Here is a 21,205-nt window from a genome sequence, read left to right on the forward strand (position 1 = left end):
AGCTTTGAATTTTAGCAGAAAAAAATTTCAGGGCTTCTCTGTCAAATAGATTCATGCCCAAACAACAAAAATGTGATGATCCAGTCTGTATAATAGGAAAAACTATTCTACCTCAAGATTTCCATCTTTGCCTATAAAGTAGGCATTCCCTCCCTTCAGAATTACAGGGTGCTGGTGAGAAGGAGCTTCTCTTTTCAGAGCATCTCACCTCTGTCTGCACATAACTGCTACCATTTAAGAAGTGCTTAAAAATACCAAAGTTGGTTATGCTCCCAAATATTCTGATTTAAGTGTTGAACCACGGTTGAAAACCATTACATGGGTGCACTTGAGAGAACAGATAGATAAGTCCCTCTGTCTATTCACCTGCACACAATCTTCTCTTCCCATCTTGGGCTGAATGATCAAAATCAGCCCTTGTCTATCCTAAGAGCCTCTTATCCTAAGAGAAAAATATTTTGTATAATTGCTAAATAAGAAGTCATTGTGTTTAACAATAGTTCATGTTCTTTAAGTTTTTATATCTAAGTCAAATATAAATGGGATTTCAGTCAGAAATAAGAATATAATCTTTATCTTATATCAAATTTATATATTATTTATACTAACAGAACTTAAAGCCATCTCTTTAAAAAAAAGTGAAAATATATAAATGTAGGACTACAGTAGTATCTATATCTTCTCTCTCTCTATATATATATATATAGAGAGAGAGGAAATGTCTTATTTCTCAATTAATAGCATATAAATGCATATTAGTATATTTAAGTTGTGCCTTCCAAAAACACTTGTTTGCCAAATAATCAAAATGAGCAAGGATATTATAACTAGCAAGAAATTATATAGAGAGCATTCAGAAATGGAAATTTGAATAAACCTATGTGTTGGTTTCCTTAAATAAATCAACAATTCATTTTTAATCATTGTTTGAGTAAGGTAGCCATTAAATTTTCTTAAACTTGACTATATTTATTCAGATTAATTTTACTTTTTCACTTATGTTTCAGTTAAACCCATAAACCATACCCAGAATATTTTATCAACAAGGCATCCTGAATAATTCATACTGGATAATAAAAGGGTAAGTTTATATCTTCATACACACATACACACACACACACAACACAACACAACACACATGCGCGCATAACATACATAGTCTATTCAGTAAATACAGTTTGTAGATTTACGATCAATTTGAATGTGCTTGCATTTCCATGGATACATAGCCATCTATTGTTCTAGAAAAATGGCAAATGATGCATATATGGTACATATAAATGTGTGTGTGCTTATTGCATACATCCAAGCTGTGACTAGCAATGGTTTTAAATGGAGAATAAAGCATGCAAGACTTTAGTTCAGGAATTCTTCTTTATTTTGGAAATAACATTAATAAAAGAAAAGTGTCCTGGTTGTTGTCTTTTTCACTTTTGTAGTCACTGCACACTGACAATTTCGAGTATATGTTTTATCATTCCTACAATATCAGGTCAATCCATGTCTCAACAGTATCTCAACCTTCAATGTCTTGCTGGAGTGCAGTGGCTATTCACAGGTCCAATCATCGCACAGCCTCAAACTCCTGGGCTCAATTTGTCCTCCTGCTTCAGTTCCCTGAGTAGTTGAGACTACAGGCACACGCCATTTCTTGAAGTGGAATGGGTGTGCTCTAGCAAAACAGAGACTGCGATCTTCAACGTCTTCTGTCCTTCGGCTCCAGCAAAGTCTCCCCTCATGTGCTGCCTCCTTCTCTGCTCTTCTTGATTCAATCAAGGACCCAGATTGCTTTCTGCCTTGCCAGTCAAAAGTCCTCAACAAGTGGCCATATGAGCCTACCTTCCACAAATCCACAAATATTATTGATATAGTTTGAATGTCCCCTCCAAATCTCATGTTGAGATGTAATCCCCAGTGTTGGATGTGGGGCCTGGTGGGACGTGTTTTGGTCATGGGGGCAGATTTCTTATAAATGGTTTTGAATCATACCCTTGGTGCTGTCCTTGTGATAGTGAGTAAGTGCTCATGAGATCTGGTTGTTTAAAAGGGTGTGGCGGGAGGGGAACATCACACACTGGGGCCTGTCAGGGGGTGAGGGGGCTATGGGAGGGATAGCATTAGGAGAAATACCTAATGTAGATGACGGGTTGATGGGTGCAGCAAACCACCACGGCACGTGTATACCTATGTAACAAACCTGCACTTTCTGCACATGTACCCCAGAACTTAAAGTATAATTTTAAAAAAGTGTGTGGCATCTTCCCCGTCACTCTCTCTTGCTCCTGCTCTAGCCATGTGACTGCTCCTGCTTCACCATCCAGCACAAGTAAAAACTTCCCGAGGCCTCCCCAGAAACTGAGCAGATGCCAATGCCATGCTTCCTGTATATCCTGCAGAACCATGACCCAATTAAACCCCTTTTCTTCATGAATCACCCAGGCTCAGCTATTTCTTCATAGCAATGCAAGAACGGCTTAATACAATCACCCCACTTTCATTTCATGTGTATATAAACACACACACACACACACACACACTGCATCTTATTTAACAATGAGGCTTTTTTCAACTATCTGTAACAATGTACAAAATATGAAAAATATGTTTCCTAAGGTGGCATTAATCCCAAAATGATAAACTATAGAATATTAATCCCAGTAAATTCCTTGGTGTGGAGGTGTGGAAACAGAGGGTGGGGATGAAGCAACTTTCTTTAAAAGTTTTGGAAGTGTACAATCACAATATATAATAGCATATATCAAGAGTCCTGTATGTTTCATAAATAAATATGTTTAAACTTGTAAATCTAATATATCCTAAAAGGACTCATCCATAAATTTATTTTTGTCATCTAACACTACTAAGATCCTTATAAGAAAAAGTTACACGTGTACTCTTGCTTCAGTTATATAAAATTGTTGCCTTTGACTTCATGTGTTATACCATTTACTATATCCCGCAGCGCATCTGAACTAATTCACAGAGGACCTGGTTGGAGGCCTGGAGAAAATCGGCAGTCTCACATGTAAACTTCCAGTTTATTGGGATGAGCTAAAAGAGTGTATTCTCGACAAAGTCTAGCAGGCTCAGCAATGTGGGTTGCGTGTGGCTTCTCAGGACTCCTAGGTCCTCCTGGGCACACATGCTTTGCTGGTGGCAATGGCACTCCTCCTGTCCAAGGAGTTCTGCCACATCCCCCTCCCGAGAAGGAGCTTGCCTTGCTTCTTTCAACCATGTCACTTGGAACTCCAGCCTTTAGCAAGCCATAGCAACTGGGATCAAAGGATTTAGATATCAGGTACAACTTTTAACTTTACTTCCAGTTATTTCATGCTTCATGGACCACAAATTATGTAACTATGACTAGGAGTCATGCGTGGCCAATCACAATGCAACTACCTTGTGTGTGGAGGACCAGCCTGTGGGCCCGTGCAGCCACACGAGCTATAGTGTGAAGGTCTAGAGAGAAGTGATCACAGCCAGTCTGGGCACGGCCTATGGCACTGTCCACATGAGAATATTCTCTGCAGCTTGAACCCAGTAAAAATATCGTCTCCCCTAATACCCTAATATTATTTTGTTATTGAACACTTTATCACATTTTAGTATAATATTTCCTTCTTCTCTTAGTCCGACAAGGAGCTTAGAGATAGCTTTTATATTCAATTGAAACACTGTATTTTGGGTGCATGATTTTGGGGGAATTTTGTTTGTTTGTTTTTTAACAAGCTACTCAAATCATGTTTATCCAAAATTAAAAGATATAGACTGCTAAGAAAACTGTGAGGTCTATTTTGAAACAGATAAATGAGAATGAAAGAAGTTAGAGTATAAATGTAATTTAAACATACAATATTCAGCAACTATCAGAAAATAAAAATTTATTGAAGAAATTTCCTATTCTTTCTGAATTTCTCATGCTGAGGAAGAATGATTTTTAAAAAAGCTATTTGACTTTTGGAATTTTATCCTCAGGGATAAAACTCAGAACACTACAAAATGATTTATGTATGAGAACATTCATTGTGGCATTTTAAAAATTGAAATAAAGAAGAAATATTAAATCTCTAATATACCTGTAAAATTATTTTTGAGGAATCTTTAGTAAAGTGAGAAAATGCTCACAACCTAGACTTGGATAGGAAGGCAAATTGAAAATAACATGTATAATTAATATAAATACCAATATCTGATGTTTGTGGAGTGCTTACTACATGCCAGACATTGTACTGAGTATTTTTCACTGATTACCAGAAGAAATAATTTATTTTGGAAAATGTAAAATATATGCAAATAAGTGAATGGCACAATCCAAAGTACCCATAATTGTCCACATCGAGAAAAAAAAAAAGACCTATCATGAGCATTGACAAATATACCAGGAACTGTGAGAGGAAATTTAGGTGCATTCACTCAGTTATTCCTCCCAGAAAACCAGTGATGTAGGTTATTTTTGTCATTCATGCTCATTCCACTAGATGACACTGCTATAATAATAATAATAATAGTAGTAGTAGTAGGAGGAGTTATAACATATCTCCCCTCCTTGAAAAATGATACTTTTAATGATAACCCTAAAGAGCATCAGTGAAAATTAAATTTATAATATCCACTTACATATTAAGTATGTTTAAAATGTTGTAATTCTTTTGTAATTGATAATCTATTTGTAGTATCTATAGACCGATGTACCAAGGCAGTAAAACATCACAATTTAACTTTTATACTTTTTTATTTTCTTGGAATACAATGTACATGTCCCCATAGAAATGTTTAAACAGTAGTTAGTGACTGATTTCAGACAAAAAAAAATGCTATTAATTCATTTACTTAGGAGTTCAGAAGAGGTAAGGTATGCTGAGGAACTCTCTCACATTCAAGCACACACACACACACACACACACGCGCACACACACACACCTGTGGAATAAGCATCTCTCACTCCCCTTTATGCTGAATGAACTTGCCAAGGGCTTCCGTTGGTAGTGGCCATTACAGATGTCCTCTTATGCTGGATTTGGAACAGGACATGAGAGGAGAGTCAGGCTTGGACTGGCACAGGAAATGAGGATTCTGCCAAAGTAAGAGGGGATCCGGGTGCCCTCTGAAGAGCTGAGACTCAGTGCCTTGTCAGAAGGGCTTCTCGTGGGCTCAAGGGAGAAAGGGAGAAGGGCTAAGATTTCCATGAGATGGATGAGAGAGGGCCTTCAGATCCCAGGACTCTTAACATGGAGGATGTTCACTAAAGGGTAGGGAAACGGGGCTCTCAAAACACCGGAACCAACTTGTAGCAGCTGCTTGATCTAACATGGAAATAGCAGCTCAGACATTTTCATTGCTAGACATTCTGAAGAAATATGAAATTTTCTGAATATTAAGAGACCCCATCATCACCTCTGTATTCAAAATGTCTTTTCATTTATGCTGTCAGAAGATGATTAGAAATAAAATTTGAAGTGAAACCGTACACAATTTTTACCTAGATTTATCATCCTTCTTTGAAAAATATTCTTGACTATATTCGTTACTCTGAGCCTTTTCAACATTCTGTTTTGTACAATTCAATCATACTATTGAATAATAATGTGATAATATGTGAAATTTACTATTTTTTGGATTATCTATCTAACTTTTTCTACTCTAATGTAATACAATTCTGTTTGGTTATTTAATATCACCACTTGCTCACTCATTACCTGTTCATTGGGATTGTTTACAGGTAATATTTAAGACGTAGAAGCAGAAGACAATGCTACAATGTAGGACAATAAAAATACTATTTCAAATGTGTCATCTCTATACTGGCCCCAAAAGAGGAATGGTACGTTTAACGGAAGAGAATTATATTACAAATCATGCTTAAATAATAAAAGCCATCATTTAAGAAAGAGTCTCCTCCAGAACTGTACTTAAAATAATTTATTTGGGATGCAAAAGTACTTTCAATTGTCTCTATTCATCTTTACGGTCCTACCTTCAAGAGCTAGTTACAAATCTCATTCTGCATTTTGTCAGCTACTTGAACCCAGCTCTCTCATTTATGAACTTGAACTTCAATTCTATATTGTCAGAATAGTGCATTATTACAGTGTTAGGAGTGTATGTCTATTTTAATGGAAACTATATTTATGATTTCAAATGAAATCAATTATAAGTCCAATATAAATCACAAATTGATTAATGTGGTCTCTTGCCAGTTTAAGAGGCTTTTAAAGGCTCTGCTGCAGATGGCTGACTGCAGTGTTTTGATCCGTAGTTTTTTAGAATTTTTGGAACAGTCAAAACTGGGTATTAATGTTCTGTGGCAATGTTTTAGGCATTTTACTAGGTAAAGGATTCAATATCAGGAGGGAATTACATTCTGTTTACTAATTTCTTTTCCTGTAATATTTTAGTAAGGTTATCTTTACTGAAAATATGTCATTTTTATTACTATTACTGCATTACATATTTTCATGAGTGTAACTTAGTTCATGCCCCTTATTTGATTTTTCAAAGAGGAAAGAACAAGCTAGATTTCTTGCTTTACTAGCCATTAATAGAACCTTAAACTTGATCATAAGTAAAAATAGATCATTTTGTTAGAATTAATACAATAATCTCAAAGATATAATTACTATAAGTGGAAATTATAATACTTATTTTATTTTAGCTTAATTAGAATTTATGCCCTTGAAAATAAAATGTGAAAAAGCAATATAAATATATTTTCTCTGAATTTTTCCTTTACAACTATATATATCAATCATTATACATATCATCTATACATACACCTTGATTATTAATGAGTCTAATATTTTTAACTTTAGCTCCTAGAGTCACCCACAGGAAGGAGATCTTGAACCCTTTCAATGATACCCACTTCACTTTTACCATAGTCCTTCACATAGTGATATTTAAGCCTCTCAGTTTCCATAAAGCAGTTGTATAAAGAGATCAGATCTATTTACATGCTATGTCTAGATTGGCCAAATTTTCTCAACTAAAATGTAAAAGAGAGAGAGAGATAGAAAGATGGAAAAAGAGTAAGGGAAGGAAGGAAGGATAAGAGAGAAGGGATGGAAATAGAAAGGAAGGGGGGATAATTTTACACATAACTCGTAGGGTTTTCATGATAATTTAAAAGAATACGAAGAATCATTTATTTTAGAATGCCTTTATTGTTTATAGGATTAAGCATGTTATGTATCAGTTAGGATCTAACCTCTTCCTACAAGGCCGTTTCCTTGAGTAACTATGCACATTTAAGTACCTGATACAGTAGGAACTCAATAAGTAGTAGACACCTCTACCATTACTATTAAAAATGTACTGGTAAAAGTGTTTGAAATGCAGTGTGAATGAAGCTCTAAAATTCTGCTATTGATGTCCTGTGGCCTGGCTTGCCTTATTATATTCCAACCTTTGTTTACTAGTAAATAGATCATCCCAAATCAGTGCAAACATGTACCTTCCTTAGCAGTATTCTAGAACTACCTGAAAAAAATCAGAAAAATATAAAGCTTTGGTTAGATTATTAAGATGAAATAAAACATAGGAAATAATATAGACATTTATAAAATTTTAATTTTTTTTTGTCTCAAAAGCAACTCAAGTAAAATACCTATTTGTGGAAGGACCTGACTGACCGTGGTTAGTTTGACCAATGATGGTAATTACTTTACAGTGCATAGTTATTCAAGGAAAGAGCCTGGAGAAAGAGGTTAGATCTCAACTGATACACAATAGGCTTAATCTGATCAGCAATATAGAATTTTTTTAAGACCCTGATCCCTCTTAAATCTGGAGTTAGAGTATTACTTCCTCATTATAGCTGACCTGACCAAAAATTACTACTCAAATCAATTAGTGAAAATATTTTTGACAGATATTGTGAAATTTCATTATACTGGGGAATGGAGGAGGAGGGAGAATGACTTCACTTGGAGGAATAAAAGTACTGTCCTTCACAACGTCCAGAAGCACAGTTCTCCTTCTCTCCCAAATGAACTAGCGTTGGTTATTGGGATCATTCACTTGAACCGTAGCTGAGGTTCCTCCCTGGGATTTCAAGACATGTAAGTATCTTATATGTGAAGCAAGAATTCCGGTACAGTTACTTAGATACTGTTAATCACTATAATATCTTTCATCTTGCAGCCTTATCTGGATAGATATGCAACCGTTTGCATTTTCAATGAACTTCCAATTTCTAGTGATTTGGCACAACAGGAATTGATTATAAACTGAACAGGATAAAATGGCTGCCTACCTAATTATGGAGATTCCAAAAGTTCTGTATTTTAATTGTCATAATAGGCAAGAATTCAGAAGAAACTGTCATCTTGTAAGTTAGGTAACAGGATATTAGATACAGTTGTCCCGTATTGCTTCTTGAAACCCTTGAGGCCTAATTTAGATATCTGACTCCCTGACACAGAGAACATGATGTGTAGAAGAAAGTTTAAACATCAAATTCTTTAGATTGGTTAAGACCACATACACAGAAAATATTAAGTAACGTGGTGAACTGAAAAATATATTCTGGGGCTAATCTAAGAGGCTGTGGAGTAAGGACATCTTGGTAACTAAGTCTATTTCTAATTTGGCAGTTCTAAGTTTAAGCGAGTACTAGGAATACTGGGGGATAAATGAGGACCATTTGTTCCTGAGAGCACTGCCCTGTGGTCAACCAGTCTGTGTTCACAATGTTTATTGTATTACACCAAGACCTGTAAGGTGTACCTGCCTAAAATAAGATGGCTCCCAGTAGATGCAATGAATATCTGCAGCCATCTGTATATAAGCCTGGCCACAGAAGGAAGACTTTGAGCTTTCTCAAAAGATCTGATATGGTTGTCGTTCACTTAGACTTATCATTTGCAATTGTGTGTTTACTTCTGAGGGCTTTATAGGGTGCCTATGAATTTAATCCTCTGTCTATCACTTAAAATAGTGTGGATTTTCCTGCTTTATATCCCAACTAGCTGGCTTCTTCTTGCATCCTTTAAATAAGCAAACATACTTGATTTACCTCAGTCATGCATGTCTGGTCTCCGTCAGTGTAAAGCTCTTATTTACATTAGTAGAATACCTTGATACTAAGGTCTTATTATTTCAGTTGATTCACTCAACTCCTAGAAATGGAACAAAATATCTGTTTTGATTCCCATTTTAGATTGAGGAAACTCTGCCATAGTTGATTAAGAAAATTATCTGAAGTCTTCATGCAGGTAAGAGACAGATTAGAGATGTAAGAGAATGTGTTATAATTCAACTCCAGCACATTTTTTATTATATCTCATTGTCATACAACATAACTTCCAAATTTAGAATTTAGTTTATGGCATTGTTATAAAGATCACAAGAACTGATACACATGAAAGTGGTTTTTGCACATAAGACTATTCAAGACTCTGGTTCATAGAAAGTCTCTTGCCCTTGCCTCCAGCCCCTAATAAATAGTTTTGCGATAAAATAAAAAAAAAAAAACTTCCTATTAAGGTCAACGTTATTATTTTCAAAATATCGAAATTAAAATATGACAATGACCTTTAATCTAAATAATTATGTGGTGTGGCCGGGTACGGTGGCTCACGCCTGTAATTCCAACACTTTGGGAGGCCAAGGCAGGTGGATCACTTGAGGTCAGGAGTTTGAGACAGGCCTGGCTAACATGGAGAAACCCTGTCTCTACCGAAAACACAAAAAAGCCAGGCATGGTGGTGTGTGCCTGTAGTAGTAGCTACTTGGGAGGCTGAGGCTGGAGAATCACCTGAACCTGGGAGGCAGAGGTTGCAGTGAGCCGAGATTGCACCACTGCAGTCCAAACTGGGTGACAGAGTGAGACTCTGTCTCAATAAATAAATAAATAAGTAAATAAATAAATAAATAAATAAATAAATAAAATAAAAATATATATGTATGTGGCGGGACCTGGGCAATGGGTGTTTTGAGAGAAGTACATATAATTGAAGAAAACAGGAAAACAAGATAATGATGATATAATAAATATTAATTTTGGCTTAAGACCAGTACATTTAAAGGTAAAATTGAATAAGGCAAAAATAAATTCTATCAAAAATAAGCTTATCCTGGAAAGTCCTGTTTAGAAAGAGCCAGCTGATCTGGATTAATCTAATAAATGCTGAATCCAAAGAAATGTACCTGAATACAGAATTGTGTAGATTGAGAACTAAGGAAAATATACTATCTTCTTTCAGAAAACCTTCTGAATAAATATTCCCAAGAAAAGTTACTTGAGTCTATCCTTTTCTATTGGCTATCTTTAAAGCACCCTTTCCCAAGTCAAGGTAATAAATAAAAACTGTGCTTATATTACTATTAATTTGGCTTCTTGTATTTTAAAACCTTTATTTCATTCAGTAAATCTAAATGTGATTTTTATTCTTGAGTGATGTATTAAAATCGTACCTTGGCACTGCATGTCTCCATAACTACATGCATAAATAAGGAAACATTAGTTGATCTCAACCTCGAAGTCGATGTATCCCTGCACTTCAAAATTTGAAAACTGATACATTTCTCATTGTATGTGCCAGCTTGAGACAGATTTTCCATTAGATAAAGCTGCATATAGCCTAGTTGGTCTACAGTTTTTTCCCAAATGAATAATCATTATGTCCCAAAGCAAGTGGTGCAGTCTAGACAGGAAGAGGCAAGTACCTGGAACTGTGAACCGGCTCTAGGTAGAAAGAGTCAATGACACCTGATGAGTTGAAGTAAAACTCAGTAGGAAGAATACAGACAACAGATGGTAATGCAGGAAAACATTTGGCCTCCTGACTGCCCAACACAATGTAATGAAGGTGCCTCTACAGGCAGTACTCTGAAACTCAGTGGAGCAGATGATAAATCTGTCACAATTTTCCATCCCAGTTACAGAGCCAGCATTCAGGAAGAATTAGCCAATTCTTAGAAGGAGAGACAAATAAGAGCAAAACAGAAATCCAGCCTTAGAAGACTCTGGTACTAATTAGATAGCAAAAGCAGGAGTTTGGACACTCAAAATAACGGAAAGAGGATGTGGAAGGAGAACTTAGTCCGAGTAAAGGTCACAAGAGATGTAAAACTGGAGACAGAGTTGGAATTAGTGTAGTGGAAAGACTAACTTACTCCTGAGTCTCCTGATTGTTGGAGCATCTTAAATCCCTCTTAACTAAAGTCAGGCTTGGTCCTAAGCCTGGAACAAGACATGGGAATTATGTTGATGAAGTAATGTGTCTCTCAATAGAAAGAACATGAATATATTTGGCAACTGAGGAGCCAGTAGGTCCTAAAATGATGACATAGTCATTTGGATTAACTCCTGATTTCTTAATAGCCACTTGACTTTAACAAGTATAAACTGGGAACTTACTCCAGCTCTTAGGTAAGTGAGTTTTGCTTGGCTAGACTTTTCACAAGCATGTTTAGTTAATATTAACAGTATTACAACTTAATGTCGCAGCTGATCTCTAGAAGTCATTGGTCTAGAGAAATCTTAAAATTTAAAAAGGAAATTGAATCCTGAAAGAGGTGCTCAAGAGAAAATGAGGAATAATATATAAATGAGGACACACATCATTTCTTCAATTTTTCCTACATTTGTTGAGTTCCTACCTAACATAGCAGGATCGAGCAACTAAAATCACTAACACAAAAGTTTTTTTTTTTAATGTCTATATTTGGAATACCTTCATCAGAGGCCACCAACCTATAAGAAAGATAAGACAAAGTGAAAATCATTGTTTAAAAAAATGTTTAACTTAATCTCTTTTGTATTAGTATTCAAACCATTTAAAATTCAAGTTCTTATCAGGGTTGTTTCTCCCTAACTTTTCTTACTCCCTAATATGGCATCTAATTTCAAGAAGAAAATGTGGTCACAGTTCATTTTCTGAGTGTAAGTCTCTGGCTTTGCTCATCCTGTGTACCTGGTGTGGCCTCCTGCTGATGAATTTAGAGGCTGTTGAAAGATGTGGGATGTTGTCTTAGCACTGGCAGTCTGTGATTTTATTAGCTCCCAGGATCACAGTTGTTTTCCCTAATTCATTGTCTCCATTTCTTTATTAGCAGAAAATGTACTTCTCTGACTCTTGGGCACAATCTGCATGGTTCCTCAGTTAAAATGTCTAATTTCCTACTCCACCTTCAGGGTTACCTTGCCCCCTTGAAAGTGCAGCTTAGTGGGAGGCATAAAAGCTCTTGTCTCAGCTACATTTTTGCTCCCTCAGTGGTGTTACTGAATAACTTACAGATTGACTGTGTATTAATAGAACTCAACAGGGAAGTATCATTATTTGTGGCTTTTTCACTTACACACCAGCCTCCATCAATGCCGTATCTGCACAGGTAGACAATGAGTCTCAACCATGAGTGAGTGGTGAGAACCAAGACATAAATTTTGAGTATTTTGTCCATTTTCTGTATCCATTCCATCATGACGCCTCTGGAAACCATGCAAAGAGACCTAGCTTCAGTTTGCTGAGTGATTTAGAAATAGTAGGGATGAGAATTCCATTGTGCCACATTCTCAATCCTCTCCGTGCTATGACTTAAATGTAAACTCAAGATTCAAATTTCTAAGTTTTCTTTTGATAGGTACACATGCTTGTAAGGGAGGAGGGTTAGAGCATCATCTTTATATGGACCAGAAAAAGAAAAAAATTATCTTCTTTCTCTTCACATTTCTTTTTATCAATCTCAAACCCCTTCAAGGAAGTGAAATATGTCTTGATTTCCTAAAAGGAAAATGTGCAGAAAGAAGGCAAGAAAGACAGACAGCAAGAGTGTACTACAACCAGAGAGAAAACCTGGTTCAAGCTTAGTTTGGGTGGATACGAAATGTTGGGTTGAAAATTCTTTTCTTTAAGAATATTGAATATTGGCCCCCAGTCTCTTCTGGCTTGTAGGGTTTCTGTAGAGAGATCTGCTGTCAGTCTGATGGGCTTCCCTTTATGGGTAACTCAACCTTTCTCTCTGGCTGCCCTTAACATTTTTTCCTTCATTTCAATCTTTGTGAATCAGACAATTATGTGTCTTGGGGTTGCTCTTCTTGAGGATTATCTTTGTGGTATTCTCTGTAATTTTTGAATTTGAATCTTGGCCTGTCTTGCTAGGTGGGCAAGATGGTTGAATAGGAACAGCTCTGGTTTGCAGCTCCTAGGGAGATCAACACAGAAGGTGGGTCATTTCTGCATTACCAACTGAGGTACCTAGCTCATCTCACTGGGACTGGTTAAACAGTGGGTGCATCCCACGGAGGGTGAGCTGAAGCAGGGTGGGTGTCCCCTCATCTGGGAAGCATGAGGGGTCGGGGAACTCCCTCCCCTAGCGAAGGGAAGTCACGAGGGACACTACCATGAGGAATGGTGCATTCCAGCCCAGATACTATGCTTTTATCATGGTCTTCACAACCCACACACCAGGAGATTCCCTCGGGTCACCAGGGCCCTGGGTTTCAAGCACAAAACTGGGCAGCCATTTGGGCAGACACTGAGGTAGCTGCAGGAGTTTTTTTCATACCTCAGTGGTGCCTGGAATGCCAGCAAGACAGAACTGTTCACTCCCCTGGAAAACGAGCTGAAGCCAGGGAGCCAAGTGGTCTTACTCAGTGGATCCCCCCCCACAAAGCCCAGCAAGCCAAGATCCACTGGGTTGAAATTCTTGCTGCCAGCACAGCAGTCTGAAGTCGACCTGGGATGCTTGAGCTTGGTGGGGAGAGGGGCATCTGCCATTACTGAGATTTTCCCCTCACGGTGTAAACAAAGCCTCCGGGAAGTTCGAACACTGCAACTCGGCAAAGCCTCTGGAGCCACACTATGTCTCTAGATTCCTCCTCTCTGGGCAGGGCATCTCTGAAAGAAAGGCAGCAGCCCCAGTCAGGGGCTTATAGATAAAACTCCCATCAGAGCACCTGGGGGAAGGTGCGGCTGTGGGTGCAGCTTCAGCAGAATTAAATGTTCCCGCCTGCTGGCTCTGAAGAGAGCAACAGATCTCCCAGCACTGTGATTGAGTTCTGCTAAGGGGCAGACTGCCTCCTCAAGTGGATCCTGACCCCTGTGCCTCCTGACTGGGAGACACCTCCCAGCAAGGGTCAACACTCACGCAGCAGAGCTCCGGCTGGCATCTGGCAGGTGCCCCTCTGTGACGAAGCTTCCAGAGAAAGGAACAGGCAGCAATTTTTGCTGTTCTGCAGCCTCCACTGGCGATACCCAGGCAAACAGGGTCTGGAGTGGACCCCTAGCAAACTCCAGCAGACCTGCAGCAGAAGGGCCTAACTGTTAGATGGAAAACTAACAAACAGAAAGGAATAGCATCAACATTAACAAAAAGGACGTCCACACCAAAACTCCATCCACAGGTCACCAACATCAAAGACCTAAGGTAGATAAATCCACAAAGATAAGGATAAACCAGAGCAAAAAGTTTAAAAATTCCAAAAACCAGAATACCTCTTCTCCTCCAAAAGGTCACAACTCGTCACCAGTAAAGGAGCAAAACTAGACAGAGAATGAGTTTGACGATTTGACAGAAGTAGGCTTCAGAAGGTGGGTAATAACAAACACTTCCGAGCTAGAGGAGCATGTTTTAACCCAATGCAAGGAAGCTAAGAACCTTGAAAAAAAAGGTTAGAGGAATTGCTAACTAGAATAACCAGTTTAGAGAAGAACATAAATGACCTGATGGAGCTGAAAAATAGAGCATGAGAACTTTGTGAAGCATACACAAGTATCAATAACCAAATCTATCAAGTGGAAGAAAGGATATCAGAGACTGAAGTTCAACTTAATGAAAGGAAGAATGAAGACAAGATTAGAGAAAAAAGAAGAATGAAAAGGAGCAAGCAAAACCTCCAAGAAATATGGGGCTATGTGAAAAGACCAAACATATGTTTGATTTGTGTACCTGAAAGTGATGGGGAGAATGGAACCAAGTTGGAAAACACTCTTCAGTGTATTATCCAGGAGAACTATGGGTTTTTACAGGTTCATTATCCAATGTGATCCACACCCTATCAAAGTTGACAGGACAGACATCATTTTCCTCAATAGATGTAAGTTTAAAAGGCTTCTATTCATGATTACAGCATAAGTAAATTATGGAGCAGAGTCTCATATCAAGGACTTCTAATATCAAGTGTAGCCTTTTTTTCCTCTATAACCACTCTGTCTTCTTAGACAGACAGAGGAAAAGAAATTATTTTTATTATTGCCTCCAAGAGATACACACTATTCCTAACATTTTGTTAAGAGAATACTCAAAATAGAGAGATAGCTAGGTTTCATAACATATGTTATCATAATGCAATGAGATGGTATTATGAGATAATTTTTAAAGTGACTATTTTACTTATTTTCACATCAGTTATTAGCACATGCACACACAACTTTGAGAGAGGACTTTAAAACTCATATTAAAATTTTATCTTTTCACCAGCTTTATTTAATACACTCTGCCTTCTTTATGATGAACCAGGATCATTATTTTGATGATTTTTGCTTCACTAGGCTGAAATTCAATAATGGGCCGTGAAGTTATTAAACAGAAAAGAACTCTTTGTTCCCATAGCAAATGTCTGTAGATTGAATTACAGTTGCTGATTTTATTTCTTCTCGTTTTTCTCCCCCACCTGTTACATCTTAAAGTTTTATTTTGTTCTATTTTCCTCAGTTTCTCCTATTTGCCCTATTTGCTTCCATCCTCCTAGTAGATTTCTAGTAGACTATCAGCAGTTACCTAAGGGGCATCCAGATAATCAAACCCTGTATCAGTTAACTTAGTTTCATATGCTTAGACATTTGCATCCTTGGGACTTGAAGGTAAAGTTCATGAATTGCCATGAGACATGGTTTTGTACAATTCTTGTTAGTTGCCAATGGCTGCACTTACGGAATATTACTATTATGCTGTATCATGCATAGCATAATATAACCCGTAGGAAGAGTCACACAGAATGACAGGAAAGGTTACATTTTTCATTCTAAATGGAGTGTTTTTCTCTGTCGTCTTCTGCATAGAACTCATGCATTCTTCTTATGGTCAGATAAATGAATGAAATGTATACATTACTCCATTCTTTTCAATAAAACTGTGGAATGGTTGCCATTTCAGCTTACTCTGTATTTCTTAGAGTTGGGGATTGGTGATATTAAAGTTCTCTTGATTGATCTACAAGATAATTCCTCTATCATATTTTTTATATTATGATAGGACACAACTTATTTTAGACACAAATGAATATTTACGTCATGACAATTTCCCTTTGTTTTCTTCCCATTTTATATATACATGCCATGTAGATGGTAAGCAATAGTAAAAATTGTTCTTAAAAAGTAATAACACCTTACACAAGCAGAATAAGTAAGAAAAAGGTAATAAAATCTACATGAGAAACAGGACACATTTTACTTTACTTTTTTATCCTTCTGAAAATATTTATAGTGATTATCAAAGGCATACAAAGTATTTTACTCCTACCAAAGTATTTTTACACACACCTTTAAACTGGAATTGCTCAATGTATGTAAAAGAAAACTGTCAATTAACTTATCACCATTCACTTTAGTAAGCATAAACAGTCTAAAAACAGGAGGCATATACTGTCTGATCATAGTTTAACCTGAATTCTGAATCTGAAGGAAACAAAATCTCTCAAAGAAATAAACATATTTGCTTTGTTATTATTGATTTCTGTTGAATTTCGATCGAATCATTCCTCAGATTTCCAGTTCTTCTAAAGCAATGATGAATGTGAATATAGGTATATGCCTGTAACGGAAATTTGTGAGCCCTGTTGAAATGAGGTCCAGAAGTTGCACTTCCAAAGATGATTGTCTTCAAGGCAATTGCTTCCTGCCAGTTTGGTGATCCCTGGTGCTGGCTGAGAGGACAGAGTCTAACAGCTGCAGCAAATAAGCAGCCCATAACTGCAGAAACTCCCTGATAGGAGGGAAGCGAAAGCAGCTAACACAGGCCACTGAAGGAATCATTTGCTCTATGGCTTTGGCCTATAAATGGTAATATTTCACAGTTGTGTTGTGGTTTTGTTTTAAGATACAATGCCCCATTGAGCCATATCATAGCCTGAGACAAAAGGAAAGATCAATAATACTAATCACATCTTTATTTAAAAATGTATTAGTTTGTTGATCACTTTTTGCCTTTTGCAGTAATTTTTATTTTTAAAAAAGATTGCATTAAAATAGTATTTATCTTGATTACTAAGTTGTTTTGGTGCCCTAAACTTTGCACCTGAGGTGGGTAATTAATAGTATTTGTTGTATTGGATCAATAACCCTGTCCCAGTATCTTTTGGGTGAAGCCTAATAATCTGTTTTCTTTTTTTTTAATGGTTTTAGAGTTTGGTCACTGGACTCCTGCCTCGGAGGCACAAAGGCACAGAATCATAAGCGCTTCATTTGCCTTAGCCTAGACGCACCGCATCTTAATAAGAGAGCTCCTCATGTGTAGTGATCAAGGTTCCTTTTGTATCTCTTTTGAAGCCTGAGTCAATAGGAAGAATTGAGTAGATTTTTATTAAGTATATATTGGCATTGCTTTTCATCTCTCCTTATAAAACCTAGACAAGTGATATTCAAAAACTGATCCCCAAAGAAGTCACTGCATCTTTTTTTTTCTATCTCTTTGCTAAGACTCTTCAAACTGGCATCACTTTCAGTTTGAAATAACAATAAAAGCGAAGAAGCCAGGGGCAAAAGTGAAATGCAACATTACACTTTGCTATTAGCATAATGTGGATATCAATTACACACGTCAAAATTTTTGTTGCAAACACTTTATAGTTTGTTTCTTCATTTTAAAATATGTATTAAATATTTATTAAATACCCATTCTTTGGTGAGTCTACAAATAAACAAAAATATATTAGGAAATAAGAAACAATCTAAGCTTAGGTCTGGTAATGTAATGCTTGAAAAATAACCCCAGAGGAAGCATAAAATATTTACTAGTTTAAAACCAAGTTAGATAGTCTAAACTTTCTAAAGCTTTATGGGATCTCATTAATGCATGGAAAATTTGACTGTAAATCCATTATTTCCAATTTATACACTGAAGGTAACATATAAAAGTCAAAAATCTTTTACACAAAACAAATGCAAAACTGAAAAAGTTTCATACCACAAACTTGAAAAATCTTTTTGTGAGTTTTGCACAACACACTAGAGTGTAATAAATCATAAAGAAAAATATTGGTTAAAATGGGTATGTTTAACAGAATATGAAATACAGAGACAGGGAGATAAACATCAATGCTTTTATCTCTTTCACATTTTTACATTATAAATTAAATGTCAACACTTGGGTATCAGTTGATCTGGGAATTCTCAATGTGCTATAGAAGAACTAATTATGAAGCCCTTGGGAAAACTTAAACTTACTTAAATCTCTGGGAAATCCTAAGAAAGCTATGAACTAAATAAATATTATCAAAGCAACAATTCATGCATTAACAAACCCTAAATATTATTTATCTACACTTCCTCCTCCTTTCTCTCATCCACTCAATAAAAGTATAAGCGATATAGGCACATACAGGAGATAGAGACTGTTATGCAACTCCCAAAAGATTCATTTAACCTACAGCAATGATTTACTGAATCCCTCCTCTATTCCTCGAAACTATGCTGGTTATCAGAAAAGACTCACCGAACTGCAATATCCAACTCTCCAAAATTTCATGGCCCCTCTTTTATGACTCAGGCCTAGCCAAGTTTAGAATAACAAGCTGTTAGGGTCAGGCTGTTTGAATTTAGGACAAAAGGCAAAAGGAATCTTTTCTCTTTCAAAATTGGAAGTATACACTCCCAGCTGTTAAGCAAGATTAAACCTAATAATTACATAAATAGGTAAAACCATACTCTGGATCATTAATTTATATCTGGGATAGACAGAATGATTAGTAAATACCAACACATTAATCTGTTATAGTATCTATTGCACATTCATAAGTGATATAGTTTGGCTATGTCCCCACTCAAATCTCATCCAGAGAATTGTAATCCCCATATGCCAAGGGAGGGACAGGGCGGGAAGTGATTAAATCATGGAGGCGTTTTTCCCCATGCTGTTCTCCTTATAGTGAGTGAGTTCTCATGAGATCTGATGGTTTGAAAGCAGTAATTTTCCCTGTGTGGTCTCTCTCTCTCCTGCCACCTTGTGAAGAAGGTGCTTGCTTCCCCTTCGCCTCCTGCCATGATTGTAAGTTTCCTGAGGCCTCCCCAGTCATGTGCAACTGTGAGTCAATTAAACCTCTTTCCTTCTTAAATTACCAAGTCTCAGGTAGTTCTTTATAGCAGTGTTAAATCTAACTAACATGATAACACATTTTCATTGTTTCCAGGAGTGTTAGGTCCCCTTCTGTTTCTCTTCTCCAGGATCTCTCATGTTGTTATTTATTAGCCTTCATCTATTCTCATTCTACATGCTGTAACAAGAAGGCCATATTCACCCTAAGGTTCTCCTGTTATCTGTGAGCCATAGTCTGATCATCCCCTCAAAAATATCTCCAGCAGAAAATTCACATTCAAATTCTAGGTTTTTATTTACAAAAATGAAATCAGAAGTTAGAACCATCTCTAAAGTCCAAAATATAATTCATTATTGTTTCCTTCCATCATGTTCTTTATCTGTTTTTTCCTACTAGTCAGTGACACATATTATCCGTCATCTCTCAATCCAACTGCATTCTTCAGTCTCCCCAAAGCTATGAGGTGAAATTACAGAGTTGGTATTCAAAAAATGTGTTAAGAAAAATGTGTAGATAAACAAAGTGATGGTATTGTGAATTAATTTTGTTCACCAACCTTAGTAATACTTACCCATACAGCTAAATTGTCAAAAATAATTTTAAAACTTTATTTACATGAATGTTTACATGTGGTTTATAATTGTTTACTTTTAAAAATCTAAATGTTTATTGAACTTAAAAAGGCATCAAATAGGCAAATATGCTTTAAAATTATTAGCAATTTTTGTGTAAAAAGTAATACAGTCACTTATATTGTCACCTATACTTTCCATTTTCAGGGCAGCCTGAATTCTAAAGATCCTTGCCAAGTACCAATTACATTTTCGATTGCCTTTAGCTAATCATAATTTAGTCTTCTATTAGGAAGTCTATTTAAGACTATTTAATTCATTAGTATGTGCTTAATAGGGTTTAGTGCTTGGTTAATTCTGCATTTTACTTTGTGGTTTTCTACCTTTGTTTAACTAAGTCTCTGTAATCGTTTTGTTCCATTTCTAATAACATCAGATGGGTAACTGTACAAAGGGTATGTTTAGAGTGTGAAGCTAATATATTAACTTTAGCACCTAATTCTCACTAATGATTAACTGACAATGAAATTTCTTAAGCAATTTAGTAATCCTCAATGGGCAAAACAACAGTTTATTTGAGTGAAGAAGGTGGAAAAAAACCCTTCCTTCTCCTCATCTTGAATTTCTTACTATAGAAAGAGACTCACTACAACATAAAACTTCACCAATAAAGCCTAAAGAGCTTTACCTTTCCTATTCAAGGGGAATGTGCATAAATATTACACACAAATTTCTTAATAAAATACATTTTACCCAAAAGATATTACATTCTAGGGATACACTTCATCTGAAAGCTACCCTATTCTCTTAATAAGTGAGTGGCTTTTAAACACAAATTTTCCTCTTCTAAACTTTACCAACTCTGCCACCATAACCAAGAGATAAGAGATTAAATAAGGAAAAAATATGGAAATTAGAGCATAGAACTCTAGGGAGACATTGTATAAAAAGGAAAGTACATGTCCTTAAAACCATTATTGATAAAGATCTTGTACTTTGAGGAACAACTTGGAGTAAATTTATCGAGGAACACATTGCTCTAATAAATAAATATTACAACAAGGAAGTAATTATTTACTTTTTCTGGGGATTGACTCACAAACAATGAACTTTATTTATTTATTTATGTTTAAATTTAGATTCAGGGAGTACATATGCAGGTTTTGTTACATGGATACATTGCATGATGCTGAGGTTGGGCACCTAATGATACCATTGCCCAAGTAGTGAATACAGTACCTGATAGGTAATTTTTTAACCCTTTCCCCTTCCTCTTGCTCTCCCTTTTTGGAATCCCCAACGTTTATTGTTCCCATCTTTGTGTCCATCTGTACCCAATGTTTAGCTCTCACTTATACCTGAAACATGCAGTATTTGCTTT

At 36.4% G+C, this 21,205-nt stretch overlaps 2 long non-coding RNA genes across 2 annotated transcripts in view; one reads left to right on the top strand and one right to left on the bottom strand.

Annotated features, from left to right (window-relative positions):
• Window positions 1-1,016: 1,016 nt before the first annotated feature.
• On the top strand, window positions 1,017-17,604 carry LOC105370311 (uncharacterized). The gene is made up of 6 exons (XR_931637.2): window positions 1,017-1,081; window positions 2,963-3,298; window positions 5,720-5,821; window positions 7,868-8,057; window positions 9,158-9,212; window positions 17,343-17,604. It is a non-coding gene; the product is annotated as an uncharacterized LOC105370311 (long non-coding RNA).
• The window catches only part of LINC00410 (long intergenic non-protein coding RNA 410), a 35,644-nt gene continuing 26,094 nt past the window's right edge, over window positions 11,656-21,205 (bottom strand). Inside the window, exons 5-6 of the long non-coding RNA NR_027039.1 lie at window positions 14,089-14,242; window positions 11,656-13,143 (exon numbers count right to left, since the gene is read on the bottom strand). This is a non-coding gene — a long non-coding RNA (long intergenic non-protein coding RNA 410). The remainder of the gene's footprint in view (window positions 13,144-14,088; window positions 14,243-21,205) is intronic.

The sequence above is a fragment of the Homo sapiens genome, chromosome 13 (assembly GCF_000001405.40).
Source record: "Homo sapiens chromosome 13, GRCh38.p14 Primary Assembly".
NCBI lineage: Eukaryota > Metazoa > Chordata > Mammalia > Primates > Hominidae > Homo > Homo sapiens.